Source organism: Homo sapiens, chromosome 17 (genome assembly GCF_000001405.40).
Source record: "Homo sapiens chromosome 17, GRCh38.p14 Primary Assembly".
NCBI lineage: Eukaryota > Metazoa > Chordata > Mammalia > Primates > Hominidae > Homo > Homo sapiens.
This window is the reverse complement of record NC_000017.11, coordinates 60209045-60229558: the sequence shown is the minus strand read 5'-3', so window position 1 is coordinate 60229558 and position 20514 is coordinate 60209045. Positions and strand designations below refer to the sequence as shown.

At 38.0% G+C, this 20514-nt stretch overlaps 1 protein-coding gene across 13 annotated transcripts in view; it reads left to right on the top strand.

Annotated features, from left to right (window-relative positions):
* Positions 1-20514, top strand: part of USP32 (ubiquitin specific peptidase 32) — a 245090-nt gene that overhangs the window by 192858 nt on the left and 31718 nt on the right. For 7 of the 13 annotated variants that reach the window (XM_011525371.2, XM_011525374.2, XM_011525373.2 and 4 more), the window contains 10 exons: positions 3328-3520; positions 5973-6148; positions 7010-7150; positions 9772-9931; positions 14785-14939; positions 15897-15978; positions 17461-17535; positions 18045-18183; positions 18441-18546; positions 20016-20189. In XM_011525371.2, coding sequence (XP_011523673.1) covers positions 3328-3520; positions 5973-6148; positions 7010-7150; positions 9772-9931; positions 14785-14939; positions 15897-15978; positions 17461-17535; positions 18045-18183; positions 18441-18546; positions 20016-20189 — 1401 coding nt within the window. The remainder of the gene's footprint in view (positions 1-3327; positions 3521-5972; positions 6149-7009; positions 7151-9771; positions 9932-14784; positions 14940-15896; positions 15979-17460; positions 17536-18044; positions 18184-18440; positions 18547-20015; positions 20190-20514) is intronic. The other 6 variants (XM_011525372.2, XM_011525376.2, NM_032582.4 and 3 more) reach the window with 1 other exon arrangement.

Genomic DNA, 20514 nt, shown 5'->3' with positions numbered 1-20514 from the left:
ATGACCTGAAAACTAAATAAATCTAAATCTTCTTCTAAAACACAAGTTCCAGAGCAGGTAGCAGATTTAATAACAAGTCAATTTCTAAGCTCTTAACATCTGGAGCACATTATAAAAACAAATGCATGAGACTATAATCCTCACTAGGGCAATAGTTATTAATTCTGGCTGCATATGTAGTGAGATCACATAGAGAACTTTAAAAATGAAAAAATGCCTTTGGCCGGGTGACTCATGCCTGTAATCCTAGTACTTTGGGAGGCCAAGGCAGGAGGATTGTTTGGATCCTCCAGGAGTTTGAGACCAGTCTGGGTAACATATTGAGACCCCATCTCTATGAAAACTTTAAAAATTAGTTGGGCATGGTGATGCATGCCTGTGGTCCTAGCTGAGGTGGAAGGATCACTTGAGCTCAGGAGTTCAAGGGTATAGTGAGCTATAGGCGACTGAGCAAGACCCTGTATTAAAAAAAGAGCCTTTGCTATACTCCAGACTAAAAAAATCAAAAAGCATAAGTGAAAAAAAAAAGTTGAATTGATTTAAATAATAAGGCATTTATGTTTATGGAAAATTTTCTTTTGAAACCTAATTTAACCAGGTGAGGTGGCTCACACCTGTAATCCCACCACTTTGGGTGACTGAGGCAGGAGGATTACCTGAGGCTAGAGTTTGAGACCAGCCTGGGCAATACAGTAAGACTCCATTTCTACCAAAAAAAAAAACAAAAACAAAAAAAACAAAGAGTCTCGCTCTGTTGCTCTGGCTGGAGTGCAGTGGCATGATCTCAACTCACTTCAACCTCCACCCCCTGGGTTGAGGCCATCCTCCCACCTCAGCCTCTCAAGTTACTGGGGACTAAAGGTGCACACCACCATGCCCCACTATTTTTTTTTAATATTTTTTTGTAAAGACGGGATCTATCCACGTTGCTCGGGCTGGTCTCCAACTCTCCTGAGCTCAAGTGATCCAGCCACCTTGGCTCCCAAAGTGCAGGGATTACAGACATGAGCCACCATCCCTGGCCAAAACTTGTTTTAATTAAAAAAAAAAAAAAAAAGAAAAAGAAAAAAGAAACCTAATTTAAATGTCATGTATTTTGTGTTGGTATGAATTCCATATTAGAAAAGCTGTGAGAAGCTTGATATTATCTTTAAGAAAATTAACACTTAGGACTAATTTATACTTCTTTTTTGACATAGATCATTTTGGTTCTACTGTCTTGTCTACAGGATTTTGGTTTCTAGGCCAGGCACAGTGGGTCACGCCTGTAATCCCAGCACACTGGGAGGCCAAGGCAGGTGGATCACTTGTGTTCAGGAGTTTGAGGCCAGCATGGTGAAACCCTGTCTCTATTAAAAATACATAAATTAGCTGTGTGTGGTGGCAGGTGCCTGTAGTTCCAGCTACTCAGGAGGCTGAGGCAGGAGAATCATTTGAAGCTAGAGGCGGAGGTTGCTGTGAGCCGAGACTGCACCACTGACCTCCAGCCTGGGCGACAGAGCTTGACTCTGTCTCAAAAAAAAAAAAAGAATTTTGACTACTTTGGTGAACCATCTAAATTTTAAAAATTGATGGTCCAAAATTCATATGTAATATAGATTCCTACTTCTTAATCATTTTTTTAAACTATGGTCACCATTTTTCTCATGTAATGCCATACAGTTAACTTACATAAATAATTATGCCATTTTTACTTAAAATTTAAAAAAATTTTTTGGCTACTAAAGTGAAGCAGTGGTAACAGACAAGGAACAAAGAAATTTATAACTGTTTGTGATTAATTAGTTATTTAATCATATTTTCAAAGGAAACTTTATATCACTACTTTAAGTAGAAAACTTATGTCCACTGGGCACAGTGGCTCACGCCTTTAATCCTAGCCCTTTGGGAGGCCCAGGCAGGAGTATTGCTTGAGGCCGGGAGTTCAAGACTGACCTAGCCAACATAGCGAGACCCTGTCTCAAAAAAAAAAAAAAGAAAAGAAAAACTGAATGGGCATGGTGGCTCACGCCTGTAATTCCAGCACTTTGGGAGGCCCAGGCGGGCAGATAACCTGAGGTCAGGAATTCAAGACCAGCCTGGCCAGTATGGTGAAACCCTATCTCTATGAAAACTACAAAAATTATCTGGGCTTGGTGGCATGCACCTGTAATTCCAGTTACTCGGGAGGCTGAGGCAGGAGAATCTCCTGAACCTGGGAGGTGGAGGTTGCAGTGACCCGAGATCACGCCACTGCACTCTAGCCTGGGTGACAGAGTAAGACTCCGTCTCAAAAAAAAAAAAAAAAGAAAAAAAGAAAAGAAAACTAGTGTCGCTTGCCAGAAATAGAAGGCAATAATATTATTAAATTCCAGCTAATAGTGTTGCCTTTTGAAGACTCTGCTATTTAGGATTGTTCTCTCTTTGTTAAAAAGAGAAATAGAGAAAATATGAAATGTTAGATTAGCATATTAGCACTATATAAACAATACAATGTTTGGTGAAAGAAAAAAATATGATTTTTTTTTTTTTTTTTTTTTTTGAGACAGAGTCTCACTCTGTTGCCTAGGCTGGAGTACAGTGGCGCAATCTCAGCTTACTGCAACCTCCCGGGTTCAAGTGATTCTCTTGCCTCAGCCTCCCGAGTAGCTGGGATTACAGGAGCCCTCCACCACCCCCAGCTAATTTTTGTATTTTTAGTAGAGATGGGATTTCACCATTTTGGCCTCCTGACCTCAAGTGATCCATCTGCCTCGGTCTCCCAAAGTGCTGGGATTAAAGGTGTGTTCAGTTATTGTAGAAGGTCACATAGGTATAAGTCATAGCATTGCCCTTCACTCTATGTACATACACCACTCATCTTTTACATATATACATATTTTTCAGTCATAAGAACTAAAACACAGTTATTGCTAAATGATGGAATCTGAGTACATGTGATATTTTCTTCATGTTTTCTATATTTTCTACATTGACCATGTAATCTTTAATAATAAAAAAATTATATACATTCATGTACTATGGGAAATAAGGAAGAAAAGAAAAAAATTTAAGCTTTATTTACTTTTAATGTTAAAAAAATGGCTGCCAACAGAATAGAGTGTAAATTACTTTATGTGGCACAAAATCCTTCACAGTCTGTTTTGTCTACCTTGCCAATTTTATCTATATACATACTTTTCCTCCTGAAAGAGATTAAAATATAGCTATGTATTAGAATGTTTTTAAATGTCTGTGGCCAACCACAGGAGACTTAAAAAAATAGATAATTGTGAGATTTGTTTCTGAAGACTACATAGTTGTCAGATTATAAACTTTGCTTCTTATTCTCTGATTTCCTGATTTTAGGATGCCAACCCTGTGGTAATTGAGCCATCATCTGTTTTGAATGGAGGAAAATACTCATTTGGAACTGCAGCCCATCCTATGGAGCAGGTCGAAGATAGAATTGGAAGCAGCCTCAGTTACGTGAATACTACAGAAGAGAAATTTTCAGACAACATTTCTACTGCATCTGAAGCCTCAGAAACTGCTGGCAGCGGTAAATATGACCTATTCCCCTGAGGTTTATTGGTTTATTCCCCCTGGATAGGTCTTTCTTTTCTTTTCTTTTTTTTTTTTTTTTTTGAGACTGAGTTTCACATTTTGCCCAGGCTGGAGCGCAGTGGCGCGATCTCTGCTCACTGCAACCTCCACCTTCTGGGTTCAAGCGATTGTCCTGCCTCAGCCTCCTGAGTAGCTGCGATTACAGGCACCCGCCACCACGCCTGGCTAATTTTTGTATTTTTTTAGTAGAGATGGGGTTTCACTATGTTGGCCAGGCTGGTCTTGAACTCCCAACCTCGTGATCTGCCTGCCTCGGCCTCCCAAAGTGCTGGGATTACAGGCGTGAGCCACCATGCCTGGCCTCCCCATGGATAGTTATTAAGGCAGTCTAATTTGACAGAGGCTGTAGTGAATATGGTAATAGGAGATCAGGCTTCCATTAACAGAAATAAGTTTTGAATGAAATGGTCAATTGTAAAATTCTTGAATATATTAGTATTTTTACAAAGAAAACCTCTTTTCCATATTATACTTCATTAAATCTCTCAATATGGAAATATTTTCACTATTTTCTTTTGAGACAGGATCTCGCTCTGTCACCCAGGCTGGAGTACAGTGGCATAATCACGGCTTACTGCAGCCTCTGCCTCCTGGCCCCAAGCAATTCTCCCACCTCAGCCTCCTAAGAAGCTGGGACTACAGGCACGCGCCACCATGCCCAGCCATTTTTTGTGTGTTTTTATTTTAGGGATAGGGTTTTGCCATGTTGCCCAGGCTGGTCTCAAACTCCCAGGCTCAAGCAGTCCTCTGGCCTCAGCCTCTCAAAGTGCTGGGATTACAGGCATGAGCCATCACATGCGGCTATTTTCACTATTTTCATCAATCAAGCCCCATCTTTCCCTATTGCTATTAAATTATTTAGTCAGTAAATTTAAATTTTCAAAGATAGTCATCTCCAGGACTCTCTCTAGCCATAAACATAATTAAATTAAATGCACCCCACATCAGATTCTATGTATATTTCAGGCCAAAATATGGAGATTATTTTGTTAAAATACTGAGAAAGAATTCAGATGCCTCCCATAATTCCCTTTAGGCCTTGGTACTTACCTAAAACTTCATGTTTCCACACCTACAAGGAAGATGCTGTGGTATTTCTATGGCCCAGCTGAATTGAGTTGATTGCTGTTATTCTGGTACAGTAGCAGAACCCTCAATCTTACCCTATTGTTATTTATTTATTTACTTAAAGAGACAGGGTGTCACTCTGTTGCCCAGGCTGTAGTGCAATGGCATGATCATAGCTCACTGTAACCTCCAGTTCCTGGGCTCAAATGATCCTCCTGTCTTAGCCTACCTGGTAGCTGGGACTACAGGTGTACACTGCCACACACAGCTAATTTTTTAATTGTTTTGTAGAGACGAGGTCTCATGTTGCCTGTGCTGGTTGCAGTCTTCTGGCTTCAAGCAGTCCTCCAGCCTTGGCCTCCCAAAGTGCTGAGATTACAGGCATGAGCCATTCCTCCTGGCGTGTGTTATTATTTCTTCCAAGATGTTCTTTTCCTTTTCTGTGGAAGGTGTAAGCAAATTGGACAGAGCTAGCATTTTCTTCACAAAGCTCCTTGTAGAATCTGCTTCTTCCCTCCCTTTCTGGTATTACAAAGATCACTTAGCAGTCCTAGAAGTGCTGTCATCAGCTTTAACATGAGGATTATTTCTTAACCCCATCTAAAGATCCTGTTTGGTATGTGCTTACCATATAACTTGTGACACCCAAAGGCTGCATACCACAGGCAGAAGGTTACAAAGTGATGACTGCTAGATTGTTTACCAAAGATTAGCATGTAGTTGAGAGTTGAAATGGCTTAAAATACCACTGAGGCTCACAACTCTAAGCCATGGTTAATCATCTTCTGTGCATATTTTCGTATTGTAAAGATCATGTATTTCTTTCAAAAGAACTTGTGGACATTGAGTTCATAGATACAATAGGATCTAGCCCCCATTACTCTTTTGTTGGAGTTCTTGTTTTAGTTTTCTTTTAATTTAGTGACTTCATATCACCATTATCTACCAAGAACATTTGGAATATTTTTCTAGTTTGAGGAAAATAATTAAAGGATGCTATGTAGAAGCCCAGCCACTTAGCCCAGCTCTTCCCTTCCAGTCGGAGGACATATAATTCTCATTATGAATTATTAGATATTCTAGGAGGGTGGCCAAATGTTCATTTGGTAATAATTTTAAAAGCTCTTATTTTTAGTACCATGCCATGTATTGTTCAGAGAAGGATAACATTTCCTGTCTTCTACAGAATTACCAGAATCTTAATCTGTACTGACATGTCAACAGAGTAATACAATACATGGGCATTGAGTTCATATCCTCAAGCCTGTTTATGTATAATAACTAAAAATAAGAGATTCTATCCTCTTTTTTTTTTATAGGCTTTCTGTATTCTGCCACACCAGGGGCAGATGTTTGCTTTGCTCGACAACATAACACTTCTGACAATAACAACCAGTGTTTGCTGGGAGCCAATGGGAATATTTTGTTGCACCTTAACCCTCAGAAACCAGGGGCTATTGATAATCAGCCATTAGTAACTCAAGAACCAGTAAAGGTAAGTAATTTTACATCTAAACTTAAAATTATTCTCTTGCAAGCTATTAATAAATTTCATTTCAGAGGTTTTAGCACATAGCAAAACATTGATGGTTCATTTAATTACTGTATTATAGATGGACATCTCTTTGTATAGTACATTTCTGTGAGAATATTTATGATTTAGAACTTACATAGAAGTAGTTTAGTAACCCTTGGCATTATTGTTATTCTTACTTAGGACAGCTATTCTGAAAATGTTGTTTCACATACGCTATGTATGAATTTTTTTTTCCAAACTAGTATTTTTTATTGTTTGAAAGAAATCTGTGAAGTTATTTCAAGTGCTTTAGTGATTTTTCCAAATGATATGCTTTGAGTTTCATTTCTTACATAGTTTATTTTGAAAGTCAAAAATAAAAATCTCTCATTAAAAATTCAGTTTTTTTGCTGGACGTGGTGGCTCATGCCTGTAATCCTAGCACTTTGGGAGGCTGAGGTGGGCAGATCACCTGAGGTTAGGAGTTTGAGACCAGCCTGGCCAACATGGTGAAACCCCGTCTCTACTAAAAATACAAAAATTAGCCGGGCATGGTGACGTGTGCCTGTAATCCCAGATACTCGGGAGGCTGAGGCAGGAGAATCACTGGAACCCGGGAGGCGGAGGCTGCAGCAAGCGAAGATCGCGCCACTGTACTCCAGCCTGGGTGACGGAACAAGACCCCGTCTCAAAAAAAAAAAAAAAAAAAAAATTAAGTTTTTCCAGCAACATGAAACTGGGTGGTGATATATGAGTTTGTTTTCCTGTTTCTAGGTATTGCTGAGACCCAAAAACTTTTGTAATATTGAAAGTCAACATTGTCATTCTATTCTTTCTCAGGCTACATCATTAACACTAGAAGGAGGACGATTAAAACGAACTCCACAGCTGATTCATGGAAGAGACTATGAAATGGTCCCAGAACCTGTGTGGAGAGCACTTTATCACTGGTATGGAGCAAACCTGGCCTTACCTAGACCAGTAAGTATAGTTAATAGTGCCTTATATAAGGAGCAGTCATAGATGGGGGTCTTCTGTTACTTTTTCTATGTGACTCTCACTAACCACAAAGTAGCTCTTACCTTGTGGTAGAAGAGTGTTCTGAACCTGTGTGGATTGTTCAATGTTAAGTTCCTTCACATTCGTTCATTCATTCATAAATAAAGGCAAGGAAATAGGAGGCTGTTGAATGTGTTATCCACATAAAAGTAGACATCACCTAGGATATGTGGAACTTAGGCTGGAGGGGAAGACAGGCCAAGAGCCAGTGCCAAAAAGTTCAGTGAATGTAGGGCGTGATGCAGAGGTTATTTCTGAAACTACTATTCCTAACAATCACACAAGTATCTAGTTAGGGATTGGATTCTTCTTGTAGCTTTTGGTGGATTTTTGTGGTTTATGTTTTTGAAGGAGGGGCATATAAAAGATCACAACATATGATAACAGAATATTATATTAAAATATTAGTATATAGCACCATTTGTTGTGCTTACACGGTAAACAGCACTCGGTACTCTGGACACTCACTTTTTACATTGTTGATGAAGTAAAATATAACAAGATGTTTTGGTGGGATTTGTTTTGGTATATTAAGAAACACTCTTCCACCTGTAATCCCAGCACTTTGGAAGGCCGAGGCAGGCAGATCACGAGGTCAGGAGTTCGAGACCAGCCTGGCCAACATAGTGAAACCCCGTGTCTAATAAAAATACAAAAATTATCCAGTGTGGTGGCACACTCCTGTAGTTCCAGCTACTTGGTAGGCTGAGGCAGGAGAATTGTCTGAGCCCAGGAGGCAGAGGTTGCAGTGAGCCAAGACTGCACACCATTGCACTCCTGCCTGGGTGACAGAGCGAGATTCCGTCTCAAAAAAAAAAAAAAGAAAGAAACACTCTTCCTTTTATAATGTCCAAGCTAAAACTTCCTTATGCCAGGAAGGTTTTGTATAGATGAGATATGGTACGTTAACTTCTAAAAAGAGTAAAAATCTGTTATAAAACAGACTAATGTAATTTTGATGTTGATTTTGAGTTCTTAATAATTACGTTTATGAAAAATAACCTCAAGCTCCAGGGTTTGAACAATATTCCCACCTCAGCCTCCCCAATAGCTAAGACTGCAGGCACACACCACCATAACAGCTAATTTTTAAATTTTTTTAAGAGACAGAATCTTGCTGTGTTGCCCAGGCTGGTCTCGAACTCCTGGTCTCAAGCAGCCCTTCTGCCTTGGCCTCCCAAAGTGCTGGTATTACAGGCATGAGCCACTGCACCTGGCTTGTAGTGTTGTTTTTATTTGATTTTTATTGCTCCCTCTTGATACTAAAAAAAAAAAGTTCTGTTGCAGAAGATATTGGTTATGAGAGTAAAGGAAAATAAAGCCTGGTCACCTGAGACTTAAAAGACTCTGTACAGAGTTTCTGTTTTCAAGAATTTCAGTGTTGGCTGGGCGCGGTGGCTCACGCCTGTAATCCCAGCACTTTGGGAGGCTGAGGCGGGCGGATCACGAAGTCAGGAGATCGAGACCATCTTGGCTAACAACGGTGAAACCCTGTCTCTACTAAAAATACAAAAACAAAATTAGCCAGGCGTGGTGGCGGGCTCCTGTATTCCCAGCTACTTGGGAGGCTGAGGCGGGAGAATGGCAAGAACCCGGGAGGCAGAGCTTGCGGTGAGCCGAGATCGGGCCACTGCACTCCAGCCTGGGTGACAGAGCGAGACTGTGTCTCAAAAAAAAAAAAAAGGAGTTTCAGTGTTAACCCTGCTATCCTTTTAGAATATGAAATTGATCATTTACTACTCTTACAACAATATTTTGATAATTAAATGTTTTCCTGTGTCTGTGGGCTTATAAGCAGGTTAAAACTACTTAAAAATCCTGTTCCAACAATGTGAAATCTGAGTTTTTTTTACATCCAAATTTTTTGTTTAAGTCATAGACAAAACATATGTGAACAGACTGGTTACGCAAGTAGAACGTAGTAAATTTTTATATGGGAACAGTTGCATCCTCACTACTAGTACAAAAAATAAAAATTTAAGCAATTTATAATACTCTTCATATTAACGAAATGTGGATGTTTTTAAATGATGTCCAGTGATAAGGTTTTATGAGAGTAGTATACTTACACATTACTGGCAATAGTGTAAATTGCTAAACTTTAGATGGCAGCATGACTATATAGCTAATGAATACTTCCATAGTTTTTGACTTGTAACTCAATTTTTATGAATTTGTCCTTAAAATGTCAATCATTTATATACATGAAATATGTAAAAATGAAAAGACTTATGGTGTGAGGGTAGTAGAATTATAGATAATACTTAGGGTTTTTTTTTTTCCTCAGTGTTGTTACTTGCTTTTAAATAAAAGGGGAGAAGATATCTACAAGGAGTTATAATCTTAGGAAATGGGTTTCGGAGCAGGAATTTTAACAGTAATCAGATCCATGTAACTTAAATGTGTGAGTTTCAGTAATTACTGAAATGTAGCTAGTGAACTTGTTGGACATTTTGGTTTAGAAATAAATCTCAGAAGTTAGATTAAAATGGCAAGTTTTGTTTCTTTTTTTAGTGATCTCTTTTTATCTTTTAAAACAATAGGTTATCAAGAACAGCAAGACAGACATCCCAGAGCTGGAATTATTTCCCCGCTATCTTCTCTTCCTGAGACAGCAGCCTGCCACTCGGACACAGCAGTCTAACATCTGGGTGAATATGGGTATGATGAGCCTGAGAATGTTTCCTCAGCATTTACCGAGAGGTAACTTAAGAATGCAGCAAGAATACCATGCATTTCCTTAAAAAAAAAAAAAAAAAAAAAAAAAAAGGTGAAAACTACGTTGCTCGAAGTCTGGTGCCACTGTATTGATACACATTCCCATCAGCTTTCCTACAGACTCAGTAATTAATTTTTACAGGGCTTAGAACTATGGTCATGCACAAGACTAGATGAGGGGTTGAAGCAAACATTCCAACAGCAAACTGAGATGGGATGTTTCCTTTTCTACTTACAAAGAAAATAAATAGAAATAGATTTTACATGCTTTATTTCTTTGAGACAAGCCATTGTAAATTGTTACTAGACTAAGTAGTAGTATACCAGTCATTGACTGGTCTTTTCAACTCCACTCAAATTTGTAAAAAGCAATTCCTCTTATACTATCATCTTTTTTGTTTTTTAAGGTTTTTGTTGTTGTTTGGTTTTTTGGCAAAACATGATACATTTCTCATGCTTGATCTAAAGAGGCTTTACATAAGAGACAGAGAGTACAGAGCAAAAGGCATATTTTTGAAGATTAAAGTGATATATTTGCTTTGAAAAAACATCAAGCCTATCAAAATGACATATAAAGTAGTTCCCATTTTAATGTATAACATGCAAAAAGTTCCCCTTTCATTTCTCTGTAAGGTTAAACTTTATTGACGGGCAAGACTTGCTCTGTGCTTTTGCTTTGCAAATGTTTGAAATTATTCTTCAGCAGTAAAGAAATAATAAGCTGAGCACAGTGGCTCATGCCTGTAATCCCACAATTTGGGAGGCTGAGGTGGGCAGATTACTTGAGGTCAGGAGTTCAAGACCAGCCTGGCCAACACGAACCCTGTCTCTACTAAAAACACAAAAATTAGCTGGGCGTGGTGGTGCTGTAATTTCAGCTACTTGGGAGGCTGGGGCAAGAGAATCGCTTGAACCCAGGAGGTGGAGGTTGCAGTGAGCCAAGATCACACCGTTGCACTCCAGCCTGGGTGACGGAGTGAGACTCTGTCTCAAAAAATAATATTAATAATCATGAGCAACCATTTACACAAATTCTCAGACTATGTTAACAATACCAGCATGTTATTATAATTTAAATAACTTAGTATGCAAGAACTACCTCTAAACCCTGACCAAAAGAAGTACTTGCTCTCCTTTGAAATTGAACAAAGTTAGTTTTGTATCTTCATTAAAGGTTATATTCATTTAATATATGAAGATTCTTTTATTTTTTATTTTTTATTTTTTTCGAGATGGAGTCTTGCTCTGTCGCCCAGGCTGAAGTGGAGTGGCACGATCTCGGCTCACTGCAAGCTCCGCCTCCCAGGTTCACACCATTCTCCTGCCTCAGCCTCCTGAGTAGCTGGGACTACAGGCGCCCACCACCACACCTGGCTCATTTTTTGCATTTTTAATAGAGACGGGGTTTCACCATGTTAGCCAGGATGGTCTCTATCTCCTGACCTCGTGATCCATCCACCTCGGCCTGTTTGGTAAGAATTCTTTCAGTAGTGTTTCGTAGTAATTATAGCAAAGCATTGGCCCCTGTCTACCAAACTTTGTCTTTGGGGAAAACAGCAAAATCAAAGAACAGTGAGGCTGGGCATGGTGGCTGATGCCTGTAATCCCAACAGTTTGGGAGACTGGGGAGGAAGATCATTTGAAGCCAGGAGTTTGAGACCAGCCTGGGCAACATAGTAAGATCCTGTCTCTACAAAAAATTGTTTAAATTAGCTGGGCAAAGTGGTGTGCCCTGTAGTCTCAGCTACTCAAGAGGCTGAGGTGGGAAGATCTCTTAAGCCCAGGAGTTCAAGGTTGTGGTGAGCTATGATTGTGCCACCATACTCCAGCCTGGGTAACAGAGCAAGAGCTTGTCTCTTAAAAAAAAATAAAAAGTGAAGGAAACCATTTTTTAAAAAAGGAACAGTGAGATAGAACCTTTATGAAACATTCTTGATTTAATTTTCCATTAGAAGGATTAGCCTTGCTTCCATGGCACCCATTACAACTTTTTCAATTCTCTTTGAAAGATAACATGAGGCCAGGTGCAGTGACTCATGCCTGTAATCCCAGCACTTTGGGAGGCCGAGGCTGCTGAATCACCAGAGGTCAGGAGTTCGAGACCAACCTGGTCAACATGGTGAAACCCCATCTTTACTAAAAATACAAAAATTAGCCATGTGTGGTGGCAGGTGTCTGTAATCCCAGCTACTCGGGAGGGTGAGGCATGAGAACTGCTTGAACCCAGGAGGCAGAGGTTGCAGTGAGCCGAGATCGCGCCATGCACTCTATTCTGGGCAACAGAGTGAGACTCTGTCTCAAAAAAATATATAAAAGAAAGATAACATGAGAGGCAAGATGTGTTGTTGCACTTTTAGTAGGTATTCTTTGTAACTCTTGTGCTGATCCTAGATTTTTGCTGCTTCTATAAATTCCACTAGATTTGTTGGTGCTATTCAAAAGCACAAAAGTATGTATAGTAAGTGGCTGCCTGCTTAATGAGCTATGCTATAAAAACTTTCTAAAACTCAAATTTTCATATTGTGGCTTAAGACAATAGAGATTGACTTGAATACTATACTTATATGCTTCTGAATCCTAGAACTGCATATTTCAGATGCTCCAAATTTGGTTTTAATTTGAAATTTTATTCCTTGCTAATTAGTTGTGAAATCAATCATTAATCATTTTAAAATTTATAAAAATATGCTTTCTTGCTGTAATCTTACAACTAATCCTAAAATGTATAATTGGAGAAATTTGCTCTTTTGTTTTCTTTTAGAGATTATCCTTTGCTTGCTGATTGTAAAAGATTTGCTTGCTATGTGTTCAAAAACTGATCACGGGTTGGGTTTTGTTCTGCCATAACATGATGTTCATCTTTCTCAAATACTCAATTTATTACAGCTGTTTACTAGGCTCTTTTATTCCTTTTGAAGTGACAAGTATTCAAACCTTCTTACAGTTACAATTACTTAAATGTAGGCTTTTCTACAGACAAGGCTATAGAAGTCATTGTTTTTTAGGTGACTTTTTAGCCTGCCTTAGGTGAGGGAATTCCTTTTCTGAAGTTCTAAAAAAGTAGATGATGCACATATTTTCTCAGCTTTATTTAGTGGGGAAGACTCATTAAAAGCATTTTTCAGGAAGAAAGAAGCTAACTCATGATTGAATGGGTAGAAAATTATTTGGAATGTACATTATATTGATAAGTTTATATTTTTAAGTTGGGTTGCTCAATAAAATACAGCCTCAGCAGAGAAGACTATTTTAAGCCACAGTTTTGTCTAGATTTTTGGCGGAGTAGTTAACCAGGGTTTAATGATGTTTTTTTTTTTTTTTGCCACCTCTCTTTGATTTCCATAATCTCTTGTCATTTCATACCCCTCCTCTTTTGAAGTATGTAGTGAGACTTGATATATTCTTCCTTCACTCTTTACTCTTTTCCCCTGTATTACCACTCTTCTTGTTTCTACCTTTAGCCCTTCAGGAATTCAAGGTCATGTCTGTCGTCAACTTACTGGGTGGACAGGCTAATACGATTTTTTTTTTTTCCTTATTGGGCACTTGTTTATTTGGCCATGGGAAACTTCTTGGCTTCAATTTGAAACTCTGTTTTGACCAAATGTGGTAGCTCACACACTTGTAATCTCAGTTTGTAATCCCAGAACTTTGGGGGGCCAAGGTGGGAGGATTCCCTGAGCCTTGGAGTTCAAAACCAGCCTGGGCAACATAGAGAGACCCTGTCTCTACTTGGGAAGCTAAAGTGCGAGGATCACTTGAATGAGGGAGGTTGAGGCTGCAGTGAGCCATGATTGCCGCACCGCACTACAGCTTGAGCAACAGAATGAGACCTTATCTCAAATAATGATAATAAAAAACTCTGTTTGGCTATGTAGAGTCTATACCTATTTAGAATTTTATGTCAAATTCTCTTTTTTTTTAATTGATATGTAATAGATATACATATGTTTTCTGGTGCAGTTGTACCACTGTGCCAGATAATTGAGCTACTTAATGACTGAAAGTGATGGGATTAGTGATTCAAAGAAAGTTTAGGAAAGTGGACCAGGTGAATCCAATTATCTATCTGTGGGATTCAAATCCCATCTCATTTTACCTCCTCCACTGAGTTTTTTTTTTTTTTAACTCTGTCCTAATTTTTTTTTCACTGAGTTTTATTTCATTTTGCTATTGACTGTGACTCAGCTGAGTGCAGCCAGATATCAATGCCAATTGTTTTCTGGCATGTTCCTACTCTTCTTGGTATCCAAATATTGCCAATAATTTGGACCTTGGGCCTTGGGCCTTTGCTCATCTTTTCAAAGTTGAGGCTTTGGACTCACTTTAAAACACCTGGAAGGCTGGGCTTGGTGGCTCACACCTGTAATCCCAGCACTTTGGGAAGCCGAGGCAGGTGGATCGCTTGAGCCCAGGAGTTAGAGACCAGCCAGGGCAATATGGCCAAGACCCTGTCTCTACCCAAAAATGTACAAAAATTAGCCAGATGTGGTGGCGTGCACCTGTAGTACCAGCTACTCAGGAGGCTGAGGTGGGAGGATTGCTTGAGCCTTGGAGGTGGAGGCTGCAGTGAGCCAAAATCACAGCACCGCACTCTAGTCTGGCAACATAACAAGACTCCATCTATTAAAAACAAACAAACAAACAAACAAACAAAAAGAACTTGGGTCTCCTGCCTGCATTTTAAAGCGTTTTGGTACTCTTCATTTATAAAATTATTACACCTGTAATTCTCATTTCTCATTATTATTTCCTAAAATAGTATGGTCCCCATTGCTGAGAGGGGTGCTTCTTTTTCACATCTGCCTTTTTTCTTACTGTGATTACTGTAACCATAGGAAATGTACCTTCTCCGAATGCACCTTTAAAGCGGGTATTAGCCTATACAGGCTGTTTTAGTCGAATGCAGACCATCAAGGAAATTCACGAATATCTATCTCAAAGGCTGCGCATTAAAGAGGAAGATATGCGCCTGTGGCTATACAACAGTGAGGTAAGAGGCATCTCAGAGTCATAGAGAGTCTGATTGTTGGTATTTGTTTAATTTTAAATAGTAAAAGAAATTTGCTAAACTTCTTTGTATTGTTCCAATTTTAGTACATATGTTGCCAAAGAGCACAAGGCTAATTAAGTGTTAAATCATATTTCATGAGTATGGGATTTTACCTATAATAATTATGCTAAAAGCCATGTCTAGGATATCAGTGAAAAGTTCATCTTTTAAGTTACTATATGTATACTTGTAATATTTGTCTCTGAGATCCATAATAGCAATTGATCACCATGGACAGTACTATCTTTCAAAGATTATTGTTACATATAAAGATTACATGTTACAAAGATTATATGTTACATTATAAACTAATGGTGTGGCCGAGCACAGTGGCTCACGCCTGTAATCCCATCACTTTGGGAGGCCGAGGTGGCTGGAGCACCAGAGGTCAGGAGTTTGAGACCAGCCTGGCCAACGTGGTGAAACCCTGTCTCTACTAAAAATACAAAAATTAGCTGGGCATGGCGGTGGGAGCCTGTAGTCCCAGCTACTCAGAAGGCTGAGGCAGGAGAATTGCTTGAACCCAGAGGCAGAGGTTGCAGTGAGCCAAGATAGTGCCACTATACTCCAGCCTGGGCAACAGAGCCAGACTCCATCTTTAAAAAAAAAAAAAACAAAAAACAAAACGTATTCATGTAACCAAACACCACCTGTTCCCCAAAAACCTATTGAAATTTTAAAAAAGAGAAAGATAACGCTTATGAAGTACACATTGTCTTTCTGTCATACTGCCACCTAAGTTATAAATATTTATGAACAACTATAGTAGGCCAGATATTTGTGATATGTTATATAACTACAAAGAAGTTGTTTTTTTAATTGTTACTCATTTTTATCTCTGTATTTGTTTCAAGTTTACTAACCAAATAACAAAAACATTTCCTCCTCCTTACACAGAACTACCTTACTCTTCTGGATGATGAGGATCATAAATTGGAATATTTGAAAATCCAGGATGAACAACACCTGGTAATTGAAGGTACAAGATGGAAGCATGCATCTATATTAAATTTTCAAGGGGAAGAATTTAAAGAGTTACTAATAACCCATTTTATAATTTTCTCCAAAACAACTATTATTTGATTATTATGTTTTTATGATAAAGAAACCCTTTGGAAAAAAAAGAAAAAGAAAACCCTTTGAACTCTTATGTAATCCTACCATACAATTTAGATTGCTTTAAAGGGAAAATATTCTGTTTTTAGTCATTGACTGACAAAGAATGGGAATGGTAGATAAAAAACAAGTGAATTCAGTTTACACATTTATAGTTCCTTAAAATTTTCAAGTTGCTGCTTTGAGTTTGAGTAAAAAGAACAACTTTCTTGCATAGTTAGTAGCACAGGCTTTCATTAGTCACCAACATTGGCTACTCACTGACAGAGCTATTTGTATATTCATAGATTTACACACTGGCATGCACATGCCATTAAAAACTTTTTAAGTGTATCTTTTCCCATCAAGTTTTGTGGCAACATTGTTAGCTGCCTTTGTATTAAAATGAATAGGCCGGGCGCAGTGGCTCACGCCTGTAATCCCAGCACTTTGGGAGGCTGAGATGGGTGGATCACTTGAGGTCAGGAGTTCCAGACCAGCCTGGACAACATGGTGAAATCTGTCTCTGCTAAAAATACAAAAATTAGCTGGGTGTGGTGGCACGTGCCTGTAGTCCCAGCTACTCAGGAAGCTGAGGCACGAGAATCAGTCAAGCCCAGGAGGCGGAGGTTGCAGTGACTCAAGATCACATCACTGCACTCCAACCTGGGGGGACAAAGCCAGACTGTCTCAAAAAAAAAAAAAGGAATAAATTACTCTGACAGTTGTTACAATTTAAGAAAGAATTGTAATTTCTAATGTTTTAAGTATAAGAAATTCCATTGTTTCTGAACTTTAATTACTTCTGTAGATGGTTGAGTATAATTTTACTTCAAGTAGGTAATTGAGGGATAAGATTATTCAAACCAAGTGACTTTAAAGTCCTCAATATGAAGAGTAGGAATGGTTTTAGAGCCAATTACAGGCATGTGCTGCAAAAAGATGTTTGTCAACAAAAGACCTGTATACAGCAGTGGTCCCATAAGATTATAATACTGTATTTTTAGTTGTGCCTTTTCTATGTTCTAACATGTTTAGATACACAAATACTTACCATTGTGTTACACTTGCCTACAGTATTCAATGCAGTAACATACTGTACAGGTTTGTAGCCAAGGAGCGACAGCCTATACCATACATAGCCTAGGTTTGTGTAGGTACACTCTGTGATGTTCACACAAAGACAAAATCACCTAATGATGCATTTCTCAGAATATAACCTCGTCGTTAAGCAATGTATGTACTAAAATTAACTAGATTTTAAAACTTCTGATTTAGGAATAAGATGTCTTTAAAAAAAAAAAGCAATCGAATGGGTATAAATTAGATAGATAAGAAATTAACACATTCCTATCTGTCCTTCCAGTTCGCAACAAAGATATGAGTTGGCCTGAGGAGATGTCTTTTATAGCAAATAGTAGTAAAATAGATAGACACAAGGGTAAGTCTCCAGTATTATTTTTTAAAGAGATTATTTTAAATGTATTCTTTTTTTTTCTTCTCTCAACTGTTAAAGTGCTAACAACTTTTGGTTTTCTAGTTCAAAAGTAATTAGGGCCTTCTTCTTTTTCTTTTTTCCTGAAGCAGCATTTGATGTTGGCAAACCCACCATCAAATTATTTTCTAAATTTCTTTCTAACTCTGCAATTAAATAATTTATATGTTTTAAAAGACATACTAGAAGAAGAATTGTTTGAATTATTTTGAAAAATCATAGCAATTAAAAAGAATAATTGCTGCTTCTGGGTTACAAATGAGCATGGATCATCACTGTTGCCAGACACTCCATGAAAAGCCTTCTCTAGCATTTCAGAGACCTGCTAGAGAATTATTAGCACCATTTAGCTGATTATGAGAGTTATAAAAAACCTTTTCATTGAATATAAGTAACTGTTTGTGCCATGGCATATTACTACAGCTAAGCTTTGGTTCTCATATTGTTTGTTCCAGTTCCCACAGAAAAGGGAGCCACAGGTCTAAGCAATCTGGGAAACACATGCTTCATGAACTCAAGCATCCAGTGTGTTAGTAACACACAGCCACTGACACAGTATTTTATCTCAGGGAGACATCTTTATGAACTCAACAGGTAATCTTTCTGGAGTCACTGGCCTCTTAACCTGTGACTTTGATATAAACCCAATATCACCTAAATTTCCTCTTTTTTCACCCTGTGGGAGAAAGATTTTATCTTATTTGCCCTATTTAATATGAAATAGGCCAAGGAATACATCTCTTGTTTCAAAAAGAAAAGATATTTTGATGTGAGATGCTAGGCATTTTTGCGCCCACATGATTGTGATTTATGAGAATCTTTGGCAACAAATTTTCCTCTCAAACTTCTAGGACAAATCCCATTGGTATGAAGGGGCATATGGCTAAATGCTATGGTGATTTAGTGCAGGAACTTTGGAGTGGAACTCAGAAGAATGTTGCCCCATTAAAGCTTCGGGTAAGCAGGTTAAAATAATATAAAAGTATTTAATTCCTAATAGTTGTTTAATCATTTTTCTCTGCTTGTTTTTTGTGTTTAGCCTTTTAACTTAATAAATGTTTTTGGATCCTTCACTTGGTATAAACAAAAGGTCAAATTCTTTTGCTTGTTTAAATATATGCAAAATTACTACTGTATATGTAGTGGGTAGGATAAAGACCAAAGGTACACTCTAAATTCGGGATGTCATTCATTTTACTAATTTGTCAAACATCTTATATGAAGAGTAAACCTTTTTTGGTAATACTTCACTATTAGCAGTATTCTAACTGCAAGGTGGACCTCAGAGTCTTATTAATTACATCCAATCCAATCCATTTTCAACGTAACTAAGATAGTTCTATCTGTAGAATACAAAGAAGTAGGCTGGGCGCAGGGGCTCACGCCTGTAATCTCAGCACTTTGGGAGGCCGAGGTGGGTGGATCACTTGAGGCCAGGAGTTCAAGACCAGCCTGGACAAGATGGCGAAACCCTGTCTCTACTAAAAAAAATTAGCCGGGCATAGTGGTGCATGCTTGTAATCCCAGCTACTTGGGAGGCTGAGGCACGAGAAACGCTTGAACCTGGGAGGTGGTGTTTGCAATGAGCCAAGATCGCACCACTGTACTCCAGCCTGGGCAACAGAGTAAGACTCTGTCTCCAAAAAGAAAAAAAAAAAGTAGAAGGATGAATGAATGAAACTAATGAATATAAGTTTTATATTAATATCAGATGTAGTAGATTTTAGTGAAGTTAGGATTATTCATTATTTTTATTTAAATACAAAGCAAAAGCTTTTTATATTACAAATTATTAACTATAACAGCTACACATTTGACTACTTACCTCTTGCCAGGCACTATTCTAATTAATTTATATCCTCAAAATAATTCTATAATATAATGCAGTTAATAAAATTTAGGATGCAACAAGACCAGAAAATGTAATTGTTGAAGACAACATTATATTATATAAAATAATGTATACACATATTATTTTATACATGTTATGTATTATTATATACACATTATTTTATGCATATGTTATGTATATACTATGTACCTATAAAATATACATATTTTATATGCATATAAAAATGTAAAACGTTATAGAACAGGATGTCTTTCAATGTGAGCAAACGCTGTTTTAATGTTTCTGTCTTAAATAACATCTGTGTGCCTGAAGAACAGTTTGCTTACATAATACTGAACTGAGGACACAGTATTGCACAGTATTGGCCAAAATACTTCTCTTTTTTTGGGGGGGGTCATTTGACATTAAGATTCAAAAGATTTCATGATTATCCAAAATATATTTGTTGAAATAGAGGCAGACTAAGTACTATACTATTTATTTTCTTACAATGGCTCTGATTGGATTATAGGACATGTTCATTCCAAATTTTATGGGTAGGAAATAATGACTGTGACTTCTCTTATATTTATAGTGGACCATAGCAAAATATGCTCCCAGGTTTAATGGGTTTCAGCAACAGGACTCCCAAGAACTTCTGGCTTTTCTCTTGGATGGTCTTCATGAAGATCTTAATCGAGTCCATGAAAAGCCATATGTGGAACTGAAGGACAGTGATGGGCGACCAGACTGGGAAGTAGCTGCAGAGGTTTGTCAGTTTTGAGTTTCTAATGTAAGCAATAGACAAAATGTTCTGGCCACAAATACATGTAGCACAACTTAAATGCAAACTCAACTATTCTGAGATCAGAACTTTACTGCAAAAATGAATGAATTTCTATTTCTGTGCTTAATTCTTATGCAATAATGCCAAAACAAAAATACGTTTAATGAAAATAGAAAACTGTTGCCATTTCATATTGTAAACTTTATGGGACTGGATGTAGGAATAATTATCCAGTGGAATTTAAAGAGTCCCCGTAATTGCTAAAGTAATGGATACAGTGACCTATAGGCATGCTTTATACTTGTTA